The 17,790-nt window shown below is 34.3% G+C and overlaps 1 protein-coding gene and 1 pseudogene across 2 annotated transcripts in view; one reads left to right on the top strand and one right to left on the bottom strand.

Moving 5' to 3' along the window:
• The window catches only part of EEA1 (early endosome antigen 1), a 158,659-nt gene that overhangs the window by 68,272 nt on the left and 72,597 nt on the right, over positions 1-17,790 (top strand). For both annotated transcript variants that reach the window (NM_003566.4, XM_011538814.3), the window contains 6 exons: positions 3,539-3,593; positions 3,684-3,749; positions 7,070-7,109; positions 7,999-8,112; positions 8,728-8,849; positions 9,758-9,913. In NM_003566.4, coding sequence (NP_003557.3) covers positions 3,539-3,593; positions 3,684-3,749; positions 7,070-7,109; positions 7,999-8,112; positions 8,728-8,849; positions 9,758-9,913 — 553 coding nt within the window. The remainder of the gene's footprint in view (positions 1-3,538; positions 3,594-3,683; positions 3,750-7,069; positions 7,110-7,998; positions 8,113-8,727; positions 8,850-9,757; positions 9,914-17,790) is intronic.
• Positions 1,552-3,083, bottom strand: LOC100287544 (s-adenosylmethionine synthase type-2-like; annotated as a pseudogene).

Here is a 17,790-nt window from a genome sequence, read left to right as displayed (position 1 = left end):
ATACCCAAAGGAACAGAAATAAGCAGTGTTTTGTGTGTGTTGTGTGTATTTCCCCCCTATTTACAGAGCTGCTGCTGCTCCTCTTTTTCTTCTTCCTCTTCCTCCTCCTCCTCTTCTTCTTTGTCTTCTTTTTTTTTTTTAAGGTAGAACCTAGCATGTTATTTAGATCTTCATTAAACTGTTGGAATTGAGAACCAGACATATATAATGAACCTCCAAAAATAGATCCTGAAAGGCACTTTCTGCTTAGGGCAAGCAGTCATGGAATAAGCATGTAAACAAGCTGGCTTCTCTGTATCACACCAGCTAAGTCAGCTTTCTCCATGGCCAGCCACACCAGCTCTGCCCTCCCTTCTGTTAACACCAGCCAAACCCCCTGTAGGTCAAACCCAAGGTTTTTCTGTAGGACACCTTGGCCTACCTAGGAATGCTGGAAACATGTTAAAGGAATCATGGTAATCATGGTATTGAGAGAAAAAAAATTTTTTTAAAGCTGCCATTTGAGGTGATAGCTTCACTGTACTTAAGGCCATACCCCAGAATACAATAAATAAGCAATTAGAAAATGTTCAAGTATGAAGGGATTTCCTCCTCCCCGCCAAAAACACTGCTTTCTGAAGGAAGCTGACTTCTCTGTAGCTACACCAGCTGTTGAGAAAGCTCATTGGATCTGGTTTTGAAAATAAAACAAAACTAAAACCCTGGGAGGCATTATTGTGCAGTGTGGAGTACTCAGGCTTTCTTATAAAGAAAAAAAAACGTTATCTGGTACTAAAGTGTGCAACCTTCAGACCCTCAGGTACTGGCCTGTGACTTCCCTGTATGGCATCACAAAGATGCCAGGTGCCTTTTTTTCTAGAGCTAGGAGTTGGTGAGGTGTGGCTAGTGCTGAAACCATGCATAGGATTGGTTTACTAAATTAAAACCTTGCGTGTATGTCCTCCAAAATACAGCTGAAAGTGGAGAGATTTTGATTTGGTGCTGTTAAAGAGGTGGCAATTAAGAGCGTAAGCACCAGGGAGATGGTTTAATGGTAACTGCCTTTTTTTGATGTCAGGCTAGAGCTCCAACTGGGAACTTGCGTTACATACAAGACTGATCAGATAGGGAACACACCCTGACAAAGAGCTCATAATTAGAAATGGATCAAGTTACAGGGAGGATAAGGGGAAGGCTTCACATTCATAATAGAGCTCAAGATATTACAAATTCATGCTGACAGGGCTGTGGCATTGCCAGGCAGAGGCTATAAGCGGAACTACAAGTACTTTATGTGGACATTTTCAGCATCTGGTGTGGGAAAGTCAACGCAATTAGGACTTTGGAGCGTTGGGTAGGGCACAAATGTTCAATTTCAAAGCATTATTTACTACAGTGTTGTTTCTAGGCAGTTACATGGATCACCTGTGCTCAGTAAATTCATTACAATGGTAAACAAAACACCTAGGGACAGAATAGCAAGCCCAACAAAACACCGAAGATTATTTACTACAGTGTTGTTTCTAGGCAGTTACATGGATCACCTATGCTCACTAAATTCATTATTGATAAACAAAACACCTACGGACAGAATAGCAAGCCCAACTTACCCACAAAAGCTAAAATTCATGTCATTGACTAGAGTGACTACAACTGATCAGGTGCTGAAACAGGACAGGAAAATTTAGGAAGGAAGGCCCTTTCCCTCAGAGCTTGAAGGCTTCTCTGTTGCCTTTGCCAACAAGTATGGGGAAAAAAGATGAAAACTTTCAATATTTAAGCTTTTTGGGCACTTCCCATGGGAAGCTGTCCCTACCAAAGTGGCCATAGGCTGCAGTCCTCTGATAAATTGGCTTCTTCAGATCCAGATCCCTGACAATGACCCTAGGGTGGAGATCAAAATTCTTCTTTATAATCTCTAGTAGCTCCCTCTCACTCTTCTGAGAGGTACTATAATGGAAAACAGAGATAGATAATGGATGAGAAACTCCAATAGAATAAGAGACCTGAACAAGAACCGTTCTGCACAGACCTCCTTTAACAAGGGATTTTGCCACTGAATGAGCAGCATAGGCAGCTGAACGGTTGATCTTAGTATAATCCTTTCCTCAAAGGCACCTCCTCCATGAACACCCCAACCTCTGTAAGTGTCCATAATGGTTTTCTGTCCAGTCATACAAACCAGCATCACCCCGAGGCACACCAATAACAAGTCTGCCACTTGGCTATAGGTGGTAGATTGTATCCTCATCAAGGTATTTTGCAGGCACAATGGCTTTGATGACTTTCTCCTTTAGGGCATCCCTCATCTCACCAAGACGAACCTCTTCATCATGCCAAACAGATATAACAATTGTGTGGACTCTGATGGGAAGCATAGCACCTCAATCCTGCATATAGTGCACAGTAACTTGAGTTGTAGAATCAGGGCATAACCCAGGCAAAGTGCCATTATGGCGTAGTTCTGCCAGTTTGGCTTTAAGCTTGTATGCTAAGACAATGGTTAAAGGCCTACATACACTCCTCAGTTTCATCAGTGGCGTAGCCAAACATCAAGCCCTGGTCTCCAACACCAATGTCTTCTTCATTTCTGTCAAGATGAACACCTTCAGAAATATCTGGTGACTGTTGCTCCAAGGCTACCAGCACATTACAAGTCTTGTAGTCAAACCCTTTGGAAGAATCATCATATCCAATGTGTTTAATAGCTTCACGAAGCATTTTCTGTTAGTCAACAGCAGCTCTGGATGTAATTTCACGTGCAAGAAGGATCATTCCAGTTTTAGCAACAGTTTCACAAGCTACTTTGGCATCAGGATTTTGTTGAAGGTGGGCATCAAGGACAGCCTCACTGATCTGGTCACAGATCTTATCTGGGTGGGCCTTCCCCCACCAACTCTGAGGTGAAGAGGAATGTGCCCTTCTCAATGAACACCTAGTGGAAGCTGTTGAGCTCCCGTTCATGTTGGTGTTGGTGGCAGTGAGTGGAAGTGGCGTTGAGAAGGAGCAGCGGCAAGATGGCAGCTGCGAAATGCGCAAGTTGCAGACGGCATTCTACTCAGTGCGCAGTATCAGGGCGTAACCAATGGTGGTGCAGAGTGAACCAGGGCTTTTTCTCAGTATGAAAGATGGAAGCCAATGTTGATAGAGCTAAATGAATGAAGGGGAGAGTGATAAGGCAATGACTAGATTATGTATATTTTGTAGTCCATGTTAATGAGTTTAGATTTTATGCTAACTACAATAGGAAGCCATTGATGCTTATTGTTAGTAAATTAATGGGAGACATTTTGCCTCTTGGCTTGGGCACTTAACAGTCAGTTATATGATTATTTCCATGAGAAAATGTTTTTTCCATTTATAAACAGTAAGCTTTAGGAATAAAATCGTTTTTCTGAGGGATTTATATATATGCTATTATAGATAAAATCTTCCGTAGTTTTTTTTTGAATTGAAAAAACTATAATATTAATATACAATTACTAGCCATGATTTCTTAAGACCAGTTTGTTAATTAAAGGACATTGACTATTAATTCCTTCCTCCCATTTTTATTTAGAGATGATGTAACACTGCTCAGACAAGAGGTCCAAGACCTACAGGCTTCACTTAAGGTAAGAATAAAAATTGTTATACCTTTTTATTTTCAGTGTTTCAGATAATACCTCTTTTTAAATTTACTAATTAAAAATCTTTTTTATTAGGAAGAAAAATGGTACTCGGAAGAATTAAAGAAGGAATTAGAAAAATATCAAGGGCTGCAGCAGCAAGTAATTGCTTTTAACTACTTAAAGCATGTTTATTAGTTGTTTATTTTTATTGTTGAAAACTAAACTTAATACCTTTTTGCAAGCAGGTGGCGGCCTGATATAAATAACTTCCTAATTTGTTTCTCTGTGTTGAATTCTGATGAATGCAAACAAATGTATGAGGAGTGAAGATGTAATTTTTTAAAAGGTGTTCCATTAAAAATGAGTTACTGGATGGGCCCACGCCTGTAATCCCAGCACTTTGGGAGGCTGAGGCGAGAGAGTTGCTTGAGCCAGGAGTTCGAGACCAGCCTGGGCAACACAGGGAGACCCCTGTCTCTACAAAAAATTTAAAAATTAGCTGAGTGTGGTGCCATGTGCCTGTGGTCCCAGCTACTTGAGAGGCTGAGATGGGAGATTCACTTGACCTCTGGATTTCAGGGCTGTGGTGAGCTGTGATCTCACCACTGCTCTCCAGCCTGGGCAACAGAGCAAGACTCTGCCTCAAAAAAAAAAAAAAAAAAAAAAGAATCAGGTATCTATATGTTGTTTTTTTTTATACCAGGCTGTATTATCCTAATGTTTTGTAATATACCTAAATGGTTAAAAAAAATAGGTTCAAACAGTAGTGAGTCTTCAAAGCATTTAAGTTTCTGACAAATTGATAATGACTAAAGTGTATATTGGTAGGGAAAGAGATATTACTAGCTATAAATAGCTAGTAATATTATGTATTATGTTAGTGAAGATTGAAAACTGGGAAACCTGTTCTATTAACAATGTTAAGTTTTTAAAAAACTAAAAAATGTGTATTTGTACATACATGCACACACACTCATATTCTGTATGACTTTACATAAAAATAATACATAGAGAAAAACAGAAGAAAATCACTGCAGTATCAAAAGTGGTTCTCTTTGAATAGGATTTTTTTGATGTCTTAGATTCTATATAGTTTAGTGTATTTTCTAAGTAAATGCCTTAATTATGATTTTTATGCTGAAATTATATTGATTTTATTCTGAAATTATAGGAAGAATCAAAGATTAACGAAGTTTTACCAAATAATTTTACCATAGTCATCATTTGTAAGAATAAAAGTAGTTACCCTTCAGCAATAGTTCTAATATTTTTGTAAAGTAATTAATAATCCCTTTGCATGTTATCTTGGCATATTGTGACTTTCAGTGAGGCTTGTTTGCTTTTTAAAGCCTTTGCACCAAGAATTGGCAGTTGGACTGAAAAAGACAAAAACAAATAAATAAATGACAAGATAATCAGTCTTATTACTACTCAGCTTTTCTAATTGGTGATTCTGTTAACATTAAAGGAGTTTTTAGTAATCCAAATTACTTATAACTCATTTACTCATGTTTTATATAGATGCCATTAATAATTAATTGAGTATGGGCTGTATTCTTTTCTGTATCTGAAAGCAGAGTGGAAATTGTTTACTGCATTTGAGATGACTATTTCACATTTAATACACTTAAATAACTTTTCCACAGTGCAAGATGTAAGTTACCTTGGCAGGAAATTTACCTTTTGGGGAAAATATATTTTAAATACTTAAGGTTCTTAGCAATCAGTATGTCTTAGTTCAATGTATAGAGAAACAAAAAGTCAGATATACTAGGAAATGCCTTATTAAACTCTTTCAGATGGGTATAATTCTTTAAAATATAAAAATAATGCCAAGGTAGTATATTATTTTGTTCCTAATACATGTGACAAATTAAGCCTTATGGAATCTGTTATTTCTGCTTCTTTTAAAGTTGACTTGTCCTGAATTAAAAATTTATGCTTATAAAGCCAATTTTTTTAGTAGTGATAGTTTGATAGCATTTTTTTTTTTTTTTTTTTTGAGACAGAGTCTCGCTCTGTCACCCAGGCTGGAGTGCAGTGGCGCGCGATCTCGGCTCACTGCAAGCTCCGCCTCCCATGTTCACAGCATTCTCCTGCCTCAGCCTTCCTAGTAGCTGGGACTACAGGCACGTCCGCCATCAGGCCGGCTAATTTTTTGTATTTTTAGTAGAGACGGGGTTTCACCATATTAGCCAGGATGGTCTCGATCTCCTGACCTCGTGATCCGTCCGTCTCGGCCTCCCAAAGTGCTGGGATTACAGGCGTGAGCCACCGCGCCCGGCCGTGATAGGATGTTTTAACTAATGCAAGTTTTAGTAGTGATAGCTTGATAGCATGTTTTAACTAATGCAAATGTTCAACTATTATAGGTGTTCTGTTTGATTGTAATAAGAAGCATGATTTGAAGTATGATTTCATGAATTGCATGGTTTATTGCCAAAGAGAGATTTTCTTCGGTTCACAGTGCTTAAAAGGGAGAGAAATAACATGAACAAATCTTACAGGGAATATCAATAGATGAGGTATATTAACCATATAGTGGGTGAGTTCCAAAATTATTAAAGTCTAGTCACTTTCTCAGGATGGAAGCAGGCTTTTGTGAAAAGTAAAGTCTAAAAGGGTTGAGGTGTACCTTTTTTTATGAGCAGTCTCTCTGGAGAGATGGCATCCAAAACAGTGGAGATCCCAGACAATGGGGATCTCCTGCTGCTAGAGGAGATGTAGGTGTTGGCTGCCGAGACTCAAAGATCTAAGGCCAATAGGATATGGCCCTATTGCAGCATGAGCTGCCAGTCTCAAAGAAAGCAGCTGAAAAAGTGCAGCCTGCCATGGCCTAAGCTTTCAAAGTATCTTTCAAACTCTTTGGTTAATATGTATTTTGAAGTCCAGTAGTTGAGGTCAGTAGCTCAGATCTGCGGTATGATAAGGTCTGATGTAATACTACTGAAGAGAGGAGAAGTTCATTCCAAGTTCTCACATATGGGGTCTAACAGGTATTACATGCTTGAGCGGAGGGGGATAACACTCCAAGTTCTTATGACAGCAAAATATGTAGCATCCATGTAGCAAACTATGTTAGTGTTAGAAGTTATTTCAAAGCTACATACTAATACGATTGAATGTTGCCAGTTGACTTAAGTATTTGTTTTAGAATCTATATTTATAATTACAATAATTGTGCTATTTATTTATTACTGAATTCATGGAATTTAAGATGACCATAATAACTTCATATATATTAACATACAAAAAAATCTATGTTAGAACTAATAAACTGAAGTTAGATCATTAGGCTAGTCTGCCTGCTGGTCTCTTACAGATCTGGAAGAATGGAAACCACCAAATTTAAATTTTCACCAAAATCTTACTACTTACCTGAAAGAAAGTGACTTTCAGAGATTTTTTAACATTGACCATTTTAACAGTATTATCTTTTCCTTTTAATTCATTTGTTTATGTCTTTTGTTTTAATTGAGGAGGCCAAACCTGATGGGTTGGTGACTGATTCATCAGCAGGTAACTTTACTTAAAGCAGATATTTTGTCAGTTTTCTTTTTCTTCTTATTTGTTTTCCTTTCTTTTTCTTTGATGCCTGCCAAATGAATTTTGTTTCATGGTTATGCTTTATGACTCTAAAACAGTGAAGATAATGGTCATATTCTAGGTGTAGAGAGTTACATGTGAACTTCATAATTTAATCAGTTAACTAAAAGTTTAGTTTTTTTAGTTCATTATATTTTGAAGTAAGAAACTTCTGGAATATTACATTAATATGGTTGTTTAATGAAATTTTAAGTCTATATTAAGAGTAAGATAGTTTATTTTCTTTATGATGAAGTATTAGGAGTTGACTGCATACTTTAATGAATTAAAAGGCCTTGAGATCTTAACCATTTCCAACATCCCGCTTTATAACTAATTTTATCAGAGGAGCAGAATGTTTTCCTTTTTGAGCCAGGCTTGGTGGCTCATGCCTATAATCCCAACACTTTGGGATACTGATAGGGGAGGATGGCTTGAACCCAGGAATTTAAGATCAGCCTCCGTAACATAGCGAGACCCCATCTCTTAAAAAAAAGATAAGGGGTGTATTCCTTTTTGGTCATTTGATGGATATGGGAAAATAACTGTGAAATGTGAAATCAAAATAACTTGTAATAAAATATTTATAGATTATTTAGCAGTGATTCTAAATATTCATTTCATTTGTAGTGTATGTTTGTAAATTATGATTTGTACCTTAAGTGAAGCAGATATACTTAATTTCTTGAAGTGTCAAAATACTACTTGTAATTGGATAATAAACTTAAGTTGATCATCTTTACAACTGTAATAAATATAAGTAATAACAATTTAGCATATGTAATTAACATGGTATTTGAATAACTGCGACACTTTTTTGTAGAACTACAGTCTTTGGAACAGCAATTAGAAGAAGCCCAAACAGAAAATTTTAATATTAAGCAAATGAAAGACTTATTTGAACAGAAAGCAGCCCAACTTGCTACTGAAATTGCAGGTAAATTGAGTTAGAATTTTTTAGCCAATAAATCAATCTCATTACCTTTTTGCCATTATATACCCTAGCAATAAATATAGTATTTTAGTGTGTTAAAGCATTTGTGATAGACTTCCAATGGTGATTAATGGAATTTAATGATTTCAGAGTTGCTATGTAAATTATTTTGTTTGTCCTCTAGCTGCCTGCCTTCAAAGGACTGGTGTTTCTTTGTAGATTCTTCTTGAAATTTAGAGAAGATACATTTTCTTCTGTGGCATGCTTAAAGATTAAAAAGGAACATTTTAAAGAAGTGAAGTAAATAATGTAGTATAAATGTAACACTTGGTTATACTATTACATATATATGTTTTTAACATGTGCTTTTAGGTAAAATATGTGATTAAGTACATTAAAATGCTAATTATTAACTTAATGTTGAGTGGAATTTATGTAGACAGTTAATTTTAAGTTCATTTCATGTAATTAGAAGTATAAATTTACTGTATATATTTATGGTTATCTAAGGAATGTGAATTTGAATTAGAGTGATATACAGATATGCAGAGTAATATATGGAAACTTATAAAACTGTCCTCCCCTTAAACTAATATTTATATAACTATCTTTAATTAGATATAAAGTCAAAGTATGATGAAGAAAGGAGTCTTCGAGAAGCTGCTGAACAAAAAGTGACACGTCTGACAGAAGAATTAAACAAAGAGGCAACTGTAATTCAAGATCTGAAGACGGAACTGGTAATTTAGGAATTATTTATTGAGATGTACTCTTATACCTTTCTAAATTAAAAATAAAATACATACCCTGAAGGAAAATGTTTAAAAATATAATTTGAGTGAAATCAGGAAATAAGCAATTCCCTATATTCTACCACCTGCATATATATTCTGTATATGATTTTTAAAATAAAAATGGAATGTTATGATACGTAACTTACTACCTTAACATTTTTGTTGTTTCTATCTAAATATCATCTGTCATTTTAGTAGTTTTCATATCTGCATCTCTGATCCTGGTCTTCTCTTGCATGTTTGTTTTATAAATCCATCTGCTTTTAGGGTACTTTGTGTTGAATTTCTAGCTTTAATTTCAAATTCAACAAGTATAAAATCAAAGTAATCATGTTTCCTCATTACTGTATTTCTGTTATTGGAACCATACATCTCTAATACTCTCCCAAGACTTAATAATCTTGGATCTGTCCTTGACTTTCTTTCCTTTATTTAGCTCTCAATAAATATATAAATTAACTACATCCAACCTGGAGCAAACTCTATGCTTTCATTTGCTCCTTCATTTTTATTACCAGTTTTGTAGGATAGAAAAAGAAGGAATGTAGCATTTTCAAGTCACTGTTATGACCAATAGATGTAGTTTGTGAAGGGAAGGAAAACAAATAAAGTAGTAAAGATAATTGTGAATTTACTATACAGCACCTTGAGTATTAATACTATTAAATATGAGGTAGGATGGGAAGAGGAAGTGGCTTATTGTGGGAGAAGATATCAGTGTTCAATGTTTGAAGTCTAAAAATTGATATTGATGATTGTTTCCCTTTTGATTCCTTTGTAGTGAAATGATTCTAAAAATGTGTATTATTTTAGTTTTTCACTTTAATTTTTAATTAAAATGTGTTGTTTCACAGCTTCAGAGACCTGGTATAGAAGATGTTGCCGTGCTAAAGAAAGAACTGGTCCAAGTTCAAACACTAATGGATAACATGACCTTGGAACGTGAGCGAGAATCTGAAAAACTCAAAGATGAATGCAAAAAATTGCAGTCACAATATGCTAGCTCAGAGGTAATGAAGTTCATTGTACTTAAATGTGATTCATATTAGCTTGTGTAGTGTATACTATTGAGTGAAGCCAGGATTTGAGATTTTTCTGAGTGGCCTATCAAAATATTTGTCTTTCTTTCATTTTTGATCTGAATAATATTTGTTTATAGTCAATGTGGTCTCTCAGTATGTTTTGCTTTATAAAGCTAGACACTCAGGAATATTTGCATAAAGATTATTATTCTGTTTAATATATATATTGTTGACATGATATTTAAGGTTAAATTTACTCAAGGTTGGTTGATAAATGGTAATTGACTTTAAAGGAAGAATGATAGCATTTTCTACAATTATATTACCAATTTTGTTTAGAAAATATATTTAAGAAAGGCTTATTTTGTAATAAGCTTATTTCTTTTTTTTTTTTTTTTTTTTTTTTTTTGAGACAAAGTCTTGCTCTGTCACCCAGGCTGGAGTGCAGTGGCGTGATCTCAGCTCACTGCAACATCCACCTCCCGGGTTCAAGTGATTCTTCTGCCTCAGCCTCCCAAGTAGCTGGGATTACAGGTGCCTGCCACCACGCTTGGCTAATTTTTGTATTTTTAGTAGAGATGGGGCTTCACCATGTTGGCCAGGCTGGTCTCGAACTCCTGACCTCAGACGGTCTGCCTGTCTTGGCTTCCCAAAGTGTTGGGATTACAGGCGTGAGCCACTGCACCCGGCCATAAGCTTATTTCTAATTGATGGACTTTGAATTATGAATTTGAAAGAAGTCTTGAACTAGTCTAAATTCAGTCCAGAACTTCCCTTTATGCCAACCCTGCTAAGTGATCCACAATCCTTGCTAGGTGGTGTACGGTGTGCATATTTCTTCCTAAGTCTATTTTATTGAGCTGACATTTGTTTCCCTGTAATTTACATGCGCTGGTTCTGGTTCTGTCCTTAGGAATTACACAGAATAAATTGTTCCTCTTTCCACATGAGGTATTTGAAGACTGCTCATATTTATTCGGAGTATTTCTCTTCCAAGATAAACATTTTCAGTTCTTCTACTATTTCTTACATGACATGACTTTGGCCTGTAAATCCCTTGTATAATATGTCAGCATTTAATAAACTCTAAGATGTATAATACATAAATGTGCTTAAAAATCCTAGCCTTTGTCCTTTTTACTTTATTATAGGAGACATTTTGTTATGACTACTGTTATTTGTAGTCTTTAAGCTCCCTTATGTAAAGTAGACCTCTGATTTTCATATTTTCAGTTTAAAAAGTTGTTACCGTAACATTTTAATTTGAATCTCTTCCTTAGAGTTTTGTAACTGGTGATCTAAAAGCCACTCTATTCACAAATATAACATGTCATCAAGCTTTGGGGTATAAGTATTATAGATAACCCATGTCTAATTCATTTTTAAAAATCTTTCTTTATCTTATGGGAAGAGATGGTGAAAGTTTGTGGATATAACACACATAGGCATGTAAGGCCTTATGATGCCTAACACTACACTCTCTAACTTATGATATTTGGATGCAGTTTTTCCAAAATTGACACTTTGTAGCCCAATAACACTTAATTCCAAAAATTTTCAAACAATTTCAGGTGGTTCATGAACTTACTGAAGCCAGTTAAAAGCTCTTGTCCTACTGGTATTATTAATCAGCAGAAGACAATGATAAATCTATAAGTACAAATGTGAAATCAAGGAGAGGCTGAATCAAAGAAGTCTCATGAGGAAAAGTGCTATTCAGATGTTAATGTCAAAATACCTAAACCAGGGTGAACCCAGTCATTTATTTCTTTGTATCAGTAAGAACTATTTTTGTTTAGATATGTCTGCCTATTGGTATTTCTCAAATTAAAAAAAAATACACTCCCTTTTGATTAAAAAATATCTTAAATGCTATTTGAAATTTTAAAATAAATGTATTATGGTGACTAAAACAGAACCAAATTAATGTCAGTTTTAGGAATATGTATTTTAAAGTTGAGTCCTCTCTGACTTATTCCAGCTGCAAGTTTTGGAGTTATGCATATACTTTTTAAACAAATAGAACATTAACAAGGAAAATAAATTTACATGTTTACTTGCATTTAAAAAAAATACAGGCTGAGTATGGTGGCTCACCTCTATAATCCCAGGACTTTGGCAGCTGAGGCAGGCAGATTGCTTCAGTCCAGGAGTTTAACCAGCCTGGGCAACATGGTGAAATCCTGTCTCTATAGAAAGTTAGCCAGACGTGCTGGCACGTACCTGTACTCCCAGCTAGGTGGGAAGCTGAGGTGAGAGGATTGCTTGAGCCCAAAAGGTTGAGGCTGCAGTGAGCCATGATCACACCACTGCACTCTAGCCTGGGCGATAGAGGCAGACCCTGTTTCAAAAAAAAAAAAAAAAAAAAAAAAAAAAGGTGAGAATATAATATAACTTGCTAATGGGAAGACATTTCTAAGTAACATTTAGGAGTTACTCTAATTTAAGAATTACTCATTTCTAAGTAATATTTAAGAGTTACTCTAATAAATTCTTATTTAAGAATTTTTAGTGTTTTATGAATTTATATTTCTATTGTAGATTAAAATACCTTTATATCTAAGGAGAATAAGTCATTTAAGATGAAAAAGCTATGATTAGAGTTTTTTTGTTTTTCTTTATTTAACAAATTATTTTTGGTAGAGATGGGGTCTTGCTATGTTGCTTAGGCTGGTCTTGACCTCCTGGCCTCAAGCAGATCCTTCTGCCTTAGTTTCCCAAAGTGTTGGTATTAAAGATGTGAGTCACCACACCCATTCTATGACTAGAGTTATGAAAGATAGGGAGGTGAAAGAATTTAGTGTCTCCCTCCATCGTCTCCTCCTGCAAACAGGGCTTTGTAAGAAATGGTGATTTTTTTTTTTTTTCTAGAAAAGGTATTTCTAGGAAAGAAGGAAAATGGCTTAGAAATCAGTTCTTCGTGTTTTCATTTAAATTTTCATAAAAATTTATCTTTTCAAGTATTTGGAAATAAATTTAGAAAGGAACTTATTTGTGCTGAGTAACTGAATAGGTGATTTAATATTTCATTATATTTTTAATAAAATAATAATACTTATTACCTATTTAATTAATAGATATGTAGTGATGAATGAGACCTTGGCTATGTTAAAATATTTTGAATAACTTTAGGAAATGGTAACTTAAGAGTCAGAATAATATTATTATTAGAAACAAACTCTTACTCTTTTGAGCACCAGTAGGTTTTGGATACTATGTTAGGCACTTAAAACGTGGTCGCATTTGTTTCTTATAACCCTGTAAGTTAACTATTAAGTATGTTTTACATGTGAGGAATCTGAGAGGCAATGAGATTAAGTAAATTGTTCAAGGTCACACCTAATATAAAAGCTAGGGTTGGAACTCAGGTTTTGTCCAAAGCCTGTGTCATTCCCTTTTTATTATGTTGTCTCCTAATTTAGGTGGTCTGATGATTGCCTTTTAAGTAAATTTGTGCTATTAATCTTGTCCTAAAACTTATTGTTAATTACTTTTCTAATTTTGCCATATTGTGTGTTGTAATATTTGTATTGGGTAATAGCTTAAAATACTTTTGAGTTGTGTCATACCATTTCCATATGAAAAAAATTACTAATTACTTCATCTCATTTATTTGTTTATAACTGCATTTGTTTTTTAGCTTTTCCTTAATCTGAATATATGACGTTTTATTAATTTATTAAAATTCAATTCTAGTTATTTTCAATTAAGTATGTTAGTGAATTATAGGACTTAATACAACAATTTTTATTATGGATGTTGCTGTTTTTACCAAACCTAAATATTGGCATCAGAAACAAAACACATACAAAGGAATTAAAGAAGCTAAAAATTTATTTTTAAGGGCCAGGTGCAGTGGCTCACACCTGTAATCCCAGCACGTTGGGAGGCCCAGGCGGTGGATCACCTGAGGTCAGGAGTACAAGACTAGCATGACCAACACAGTGAAACCCTGTCTCTACTAAAAATACAAAAAATTAGCCGGGTGTGTGGTGGCGCATGCCTGTAATCCCAGCTACTTGGGAGGCTGAGGCAGGAGAATCCCTTGAACCCGGGAGGTGGAGGTTGCAGTGAGCCAAGATCATGTCACTGTACTTCGAACCTGGGCAGCAGAGTGAGACTCTGTCTCAAAAAAAGAAAAAAAATTAAAATCTCAAGTAAACATTTATTTCAAACAAAATTAATGGCAATTTTAGGAATATGTGTTTTAACATTTAGCTCAAATAAATGTTTATTTGACTAGTATACCTAGTTGGGGCTGAAGATACATAATCTGGTGTACATTATTAACTATGTATGTCCTTGTGTTTATTATTTTCATTGAATGCATACCTTATGAATTCATTGACTTCTTTTTGCCTGGGTATTTTTGAAGGCATATAGAAAATATCTCATTCTAAAGCATTTGAAAATTCTTTATAGATAATTGGCTGTTTTATGGATTGGAAATTGAGGATTTAAAGGTTAAAAAGTATATTTATACAAATCTACATTATTGAAAATATCTAAGCTGTAATCAACTTATATTTGGTGTAGTATTTAATGGAAATGATTTTTAAAGAATTTTACTTTTTTCCAAATAAACTCATTGAATCCCAGTTTTAAGTGCTAAAATGTTCATGTAGATATGGAATAAGTATGATTATACCCATGCATAGCTATGAAAGTATTTAAATATCTTTTAAAGTATGCTTCTTTAAGAGACTAGATGTGTAGGCATGTTTGGTCATTTTAATTATGTGCTCAGTGTGTACTTTTGTCAGTCTTGTCTGCCACCTTTCATCCACCATTTTGTTATTACTTTTTCTGCTTTCTAATGGAGATGCTTAAACTTGAGGTAATGTGATTTTGGGAGGCTTTTTAATATTAATAATACCCTTAATGTGTCACCTTCAATTGTTATATGGCAATTTTATGTTTTAAGGCAATCTTAGAGCTTTGAAGACATGCTCATTTTTGTTTTGCTAATCATGCATAGCTTCAACCATTTTAAAATGATTATTTACTTATAGTTGTAGCATATTAAAACAATAATTTTAATTCTAATGCACCAGCAGGATGTTTGCTTGAAATATCTTTCCTTATTTTGTAAAGTTTTTTAGTAAAAATTCAGTATTGAATTCAATAACATTTCAGAAAACCAAGGAAGTGCAAACTTTTTATAGGATCTAATATATTGTTTCCTTGGAAATAAATATCTATTATCTCTTTGGAGGTATAATTACTCATTCCTTTAGTGAGTCTTTTTGGGTCTTCCAAGTGTCAGGGACTACTTTAGGTGTGGGGATTAAAATACTGAATAAGACAGAATGCTTGCTCCCATAAGGCTTAATCCTTTGTGGAAATCAAACAACAGACTGTACAAGTACACTGAATCATGATAGAAAGCTAGGTAATAATAAGGGCTGCGAGGAAGAAAAATAAAGTGCATATGGGCGGTAGTGGAAGTGGGAATACTTTAGAACAGTTTTAGAGTTGTCGGGGAAGATCTCATGGAGGATATGTGTGAGAAGAATGAAATAAGCAAGAGTCAGAGTTAAGCAGTGGGAGCTAGGATTCCCAGGAGAAGGTTAAAGTCCAAGGCACATACAATCTTGGCCTATTAGAGAAGAAGGTCAGTATGAATAGAGATCTTTGAACTTCACCCATAGTGATATCTGAAGAGGGATTGTATTTACTTTTTGTCTTTTGTAATTATTGTCTGTCTTTAATCTTTATTTTTTCCCCAAATATAAACATAATATGTGATTATTGTAAAAGATTAATGATTCATAATGTGCAATAGAAAAGGGGAAGCCTTTCCAGAATTCACTCTCCTCACTCCTCTTCTTCATAACTAAAGTTGGCCTCTGGATGTATAAGTCTTCCCAAATCTTTCCTTATTGTCCCCTTGAGTAAATTTTAAAGTTTCAAGTGCTGGAATTTATCTATATAAAAATTTTAGTTTTCACAATATCCAAATTTGTTGTACAAAGTGTAAATGATACACTTAATGTCCAGTTTTTTAGTTGTTAACCTTATACAGTAAGAGCATATCTAAAAGCTATAAAATAGGATACAAAAAAGCTCTAAAATAGGATATTTTGGAGTGTGTTTGCTTTACATTTTCCTTATTTAATAAGGAAAATTCTATTCTTATTCTTACTAGAAATTCTTATTTCTACATGTTGGAATTTATCAGCAAGATAGACCTTACACTTGGCTTAATAAATTTTATGAACTTCAATATGAAATCATGATATTTAATGAGATATACACATAATTTGCATTTTAATATATACTGTTATTATTTCTGTGCGTTATGTGCCAGGAACCTGTGCAAATTTTTTTGATAAGATATTTACAAGTAGGGATTTAAATGTGATATTTTATTTTGTAATAAATTGGCATTTTTGCTATATGATTAAAACATAGTGAGTTAAAATAGTCAAATTGTTACCCTACTAACAAAATAATTTTGGGATTCAAAATTATTAGAAATAGTAATTTGAAATAAACTCACAGTAGCTAAATCCATTTCAAGGTTACATGTTCAGTTTAAGACAGATGGTTTTAGGGTAGGCCTTTAACTTGAGTGTAGTTGAAAATACATGAATATTTCAACATTTTCTTCTTTGAATTGTATAAGATTATGTATATATTAACATATCAGCTGTTACATATGATACTGAAGCACTGTGTATAAGGTGTAACAATATGGTAATGTTACAGATTGCCTTTCATTGCATCAGAATTTGTACTTTTAAGTGAATGTTTTCCCAAAAAGGTCAGGCCATGCACATATCTCAGACATATTCCATTCCTAAAAGCATTTTTGAAACTTATTTTCATTGACTTTTAGCCCATCTGGAACACACTAAAAAAACTAATTTTGTTAATTTATGGTTATTAAAATAAGCCCAAGAATTTGATCATTCAGTCCAATCGCTTACCTTCTGATTTTTAAAATAAGCCCAAGTTATTAAAATAAAATGGTTATTAAATAAAATAATTATTAAAATAAAATAAGCCCAAGTGTTTGATCTTTCAGTTCAGTCACTTACCTTGCCTATAAACTTGTTGGTTTCCAAAACTTAGAATCAAAGCCACCATAAAATGGATGAGGATACACCACCACTGAGAATCCCTTAAAAAAATAAGTTCCACACACTCTGGAAGGGTTTCCAAAAGAAGATCAGCCAATGATCTCTTAAATAATAGCATTGTTGCCGTGATAAGTTAGTAGCCTTCTGAGATTTCTCCCTTGAAGATGAAAGCACTCATTTGTAATATATGATATGAATAAGTATAAGTATTAAGAAAAAATTTAAAACTTGTATCTTATTCATATTATAAAGTTTATTCAGTAATAAAGAAATAGACACTGGAAATGATTGTAACTTTATAAATAAAGTGGAAAGTAAAGCCGATAAGCAATATTAGAAATATTAATATAATAGAAAGTTATTTTGTCAATGTCATTTGCAGCAGACCATACTTAAAAAAAAATACTTCGTCTTTCTCTGTAATGGTTCAGCTTTTATGTATTCGAAATTTATTATTTCCAAGATCTTTGCTTACCTGTCTTTGTCTTATATTATTTTTAAATGATCAAACTGTTGCTTTAGTAATAAAAAGTGATTTTCACATTTTTTAAAATATTAAAATGGGCTGGGCTCAGTGGCTCATGGCTGTAATCCCAGGAGGCCGTAGTGGGAGAGTCGCTTGAGCCCAGGAGTTGGGGACCAGCCTAGGCAACATAGTAAGACCCTGTCTCAACAGAAAATAAAAAAATTAGCTGGGCGTGATGGCACACACCTGTAGCCCTAGCTACTTGAGAGGCTGATGTGGGAGGATTGCTTGAAGCGGGGAGGCTCAGAGCTACA

Source organism: Homo sapiens, chromosome 12 (assembly GCF_000001405.40).
Source record: "Homo sapiens chromosome 12, GRCh38.p14 Primary Assembly".
NCBI classification, from domain to species: domain Eukaryota; kingdom Metazoa; phylum Chordata; class Mammalia; order Primates; family Hominidae; genus Homo; species Homo sapiens.
This window is presented reverse-complemented; position numbering and strand designations above follow the sequence as displayed.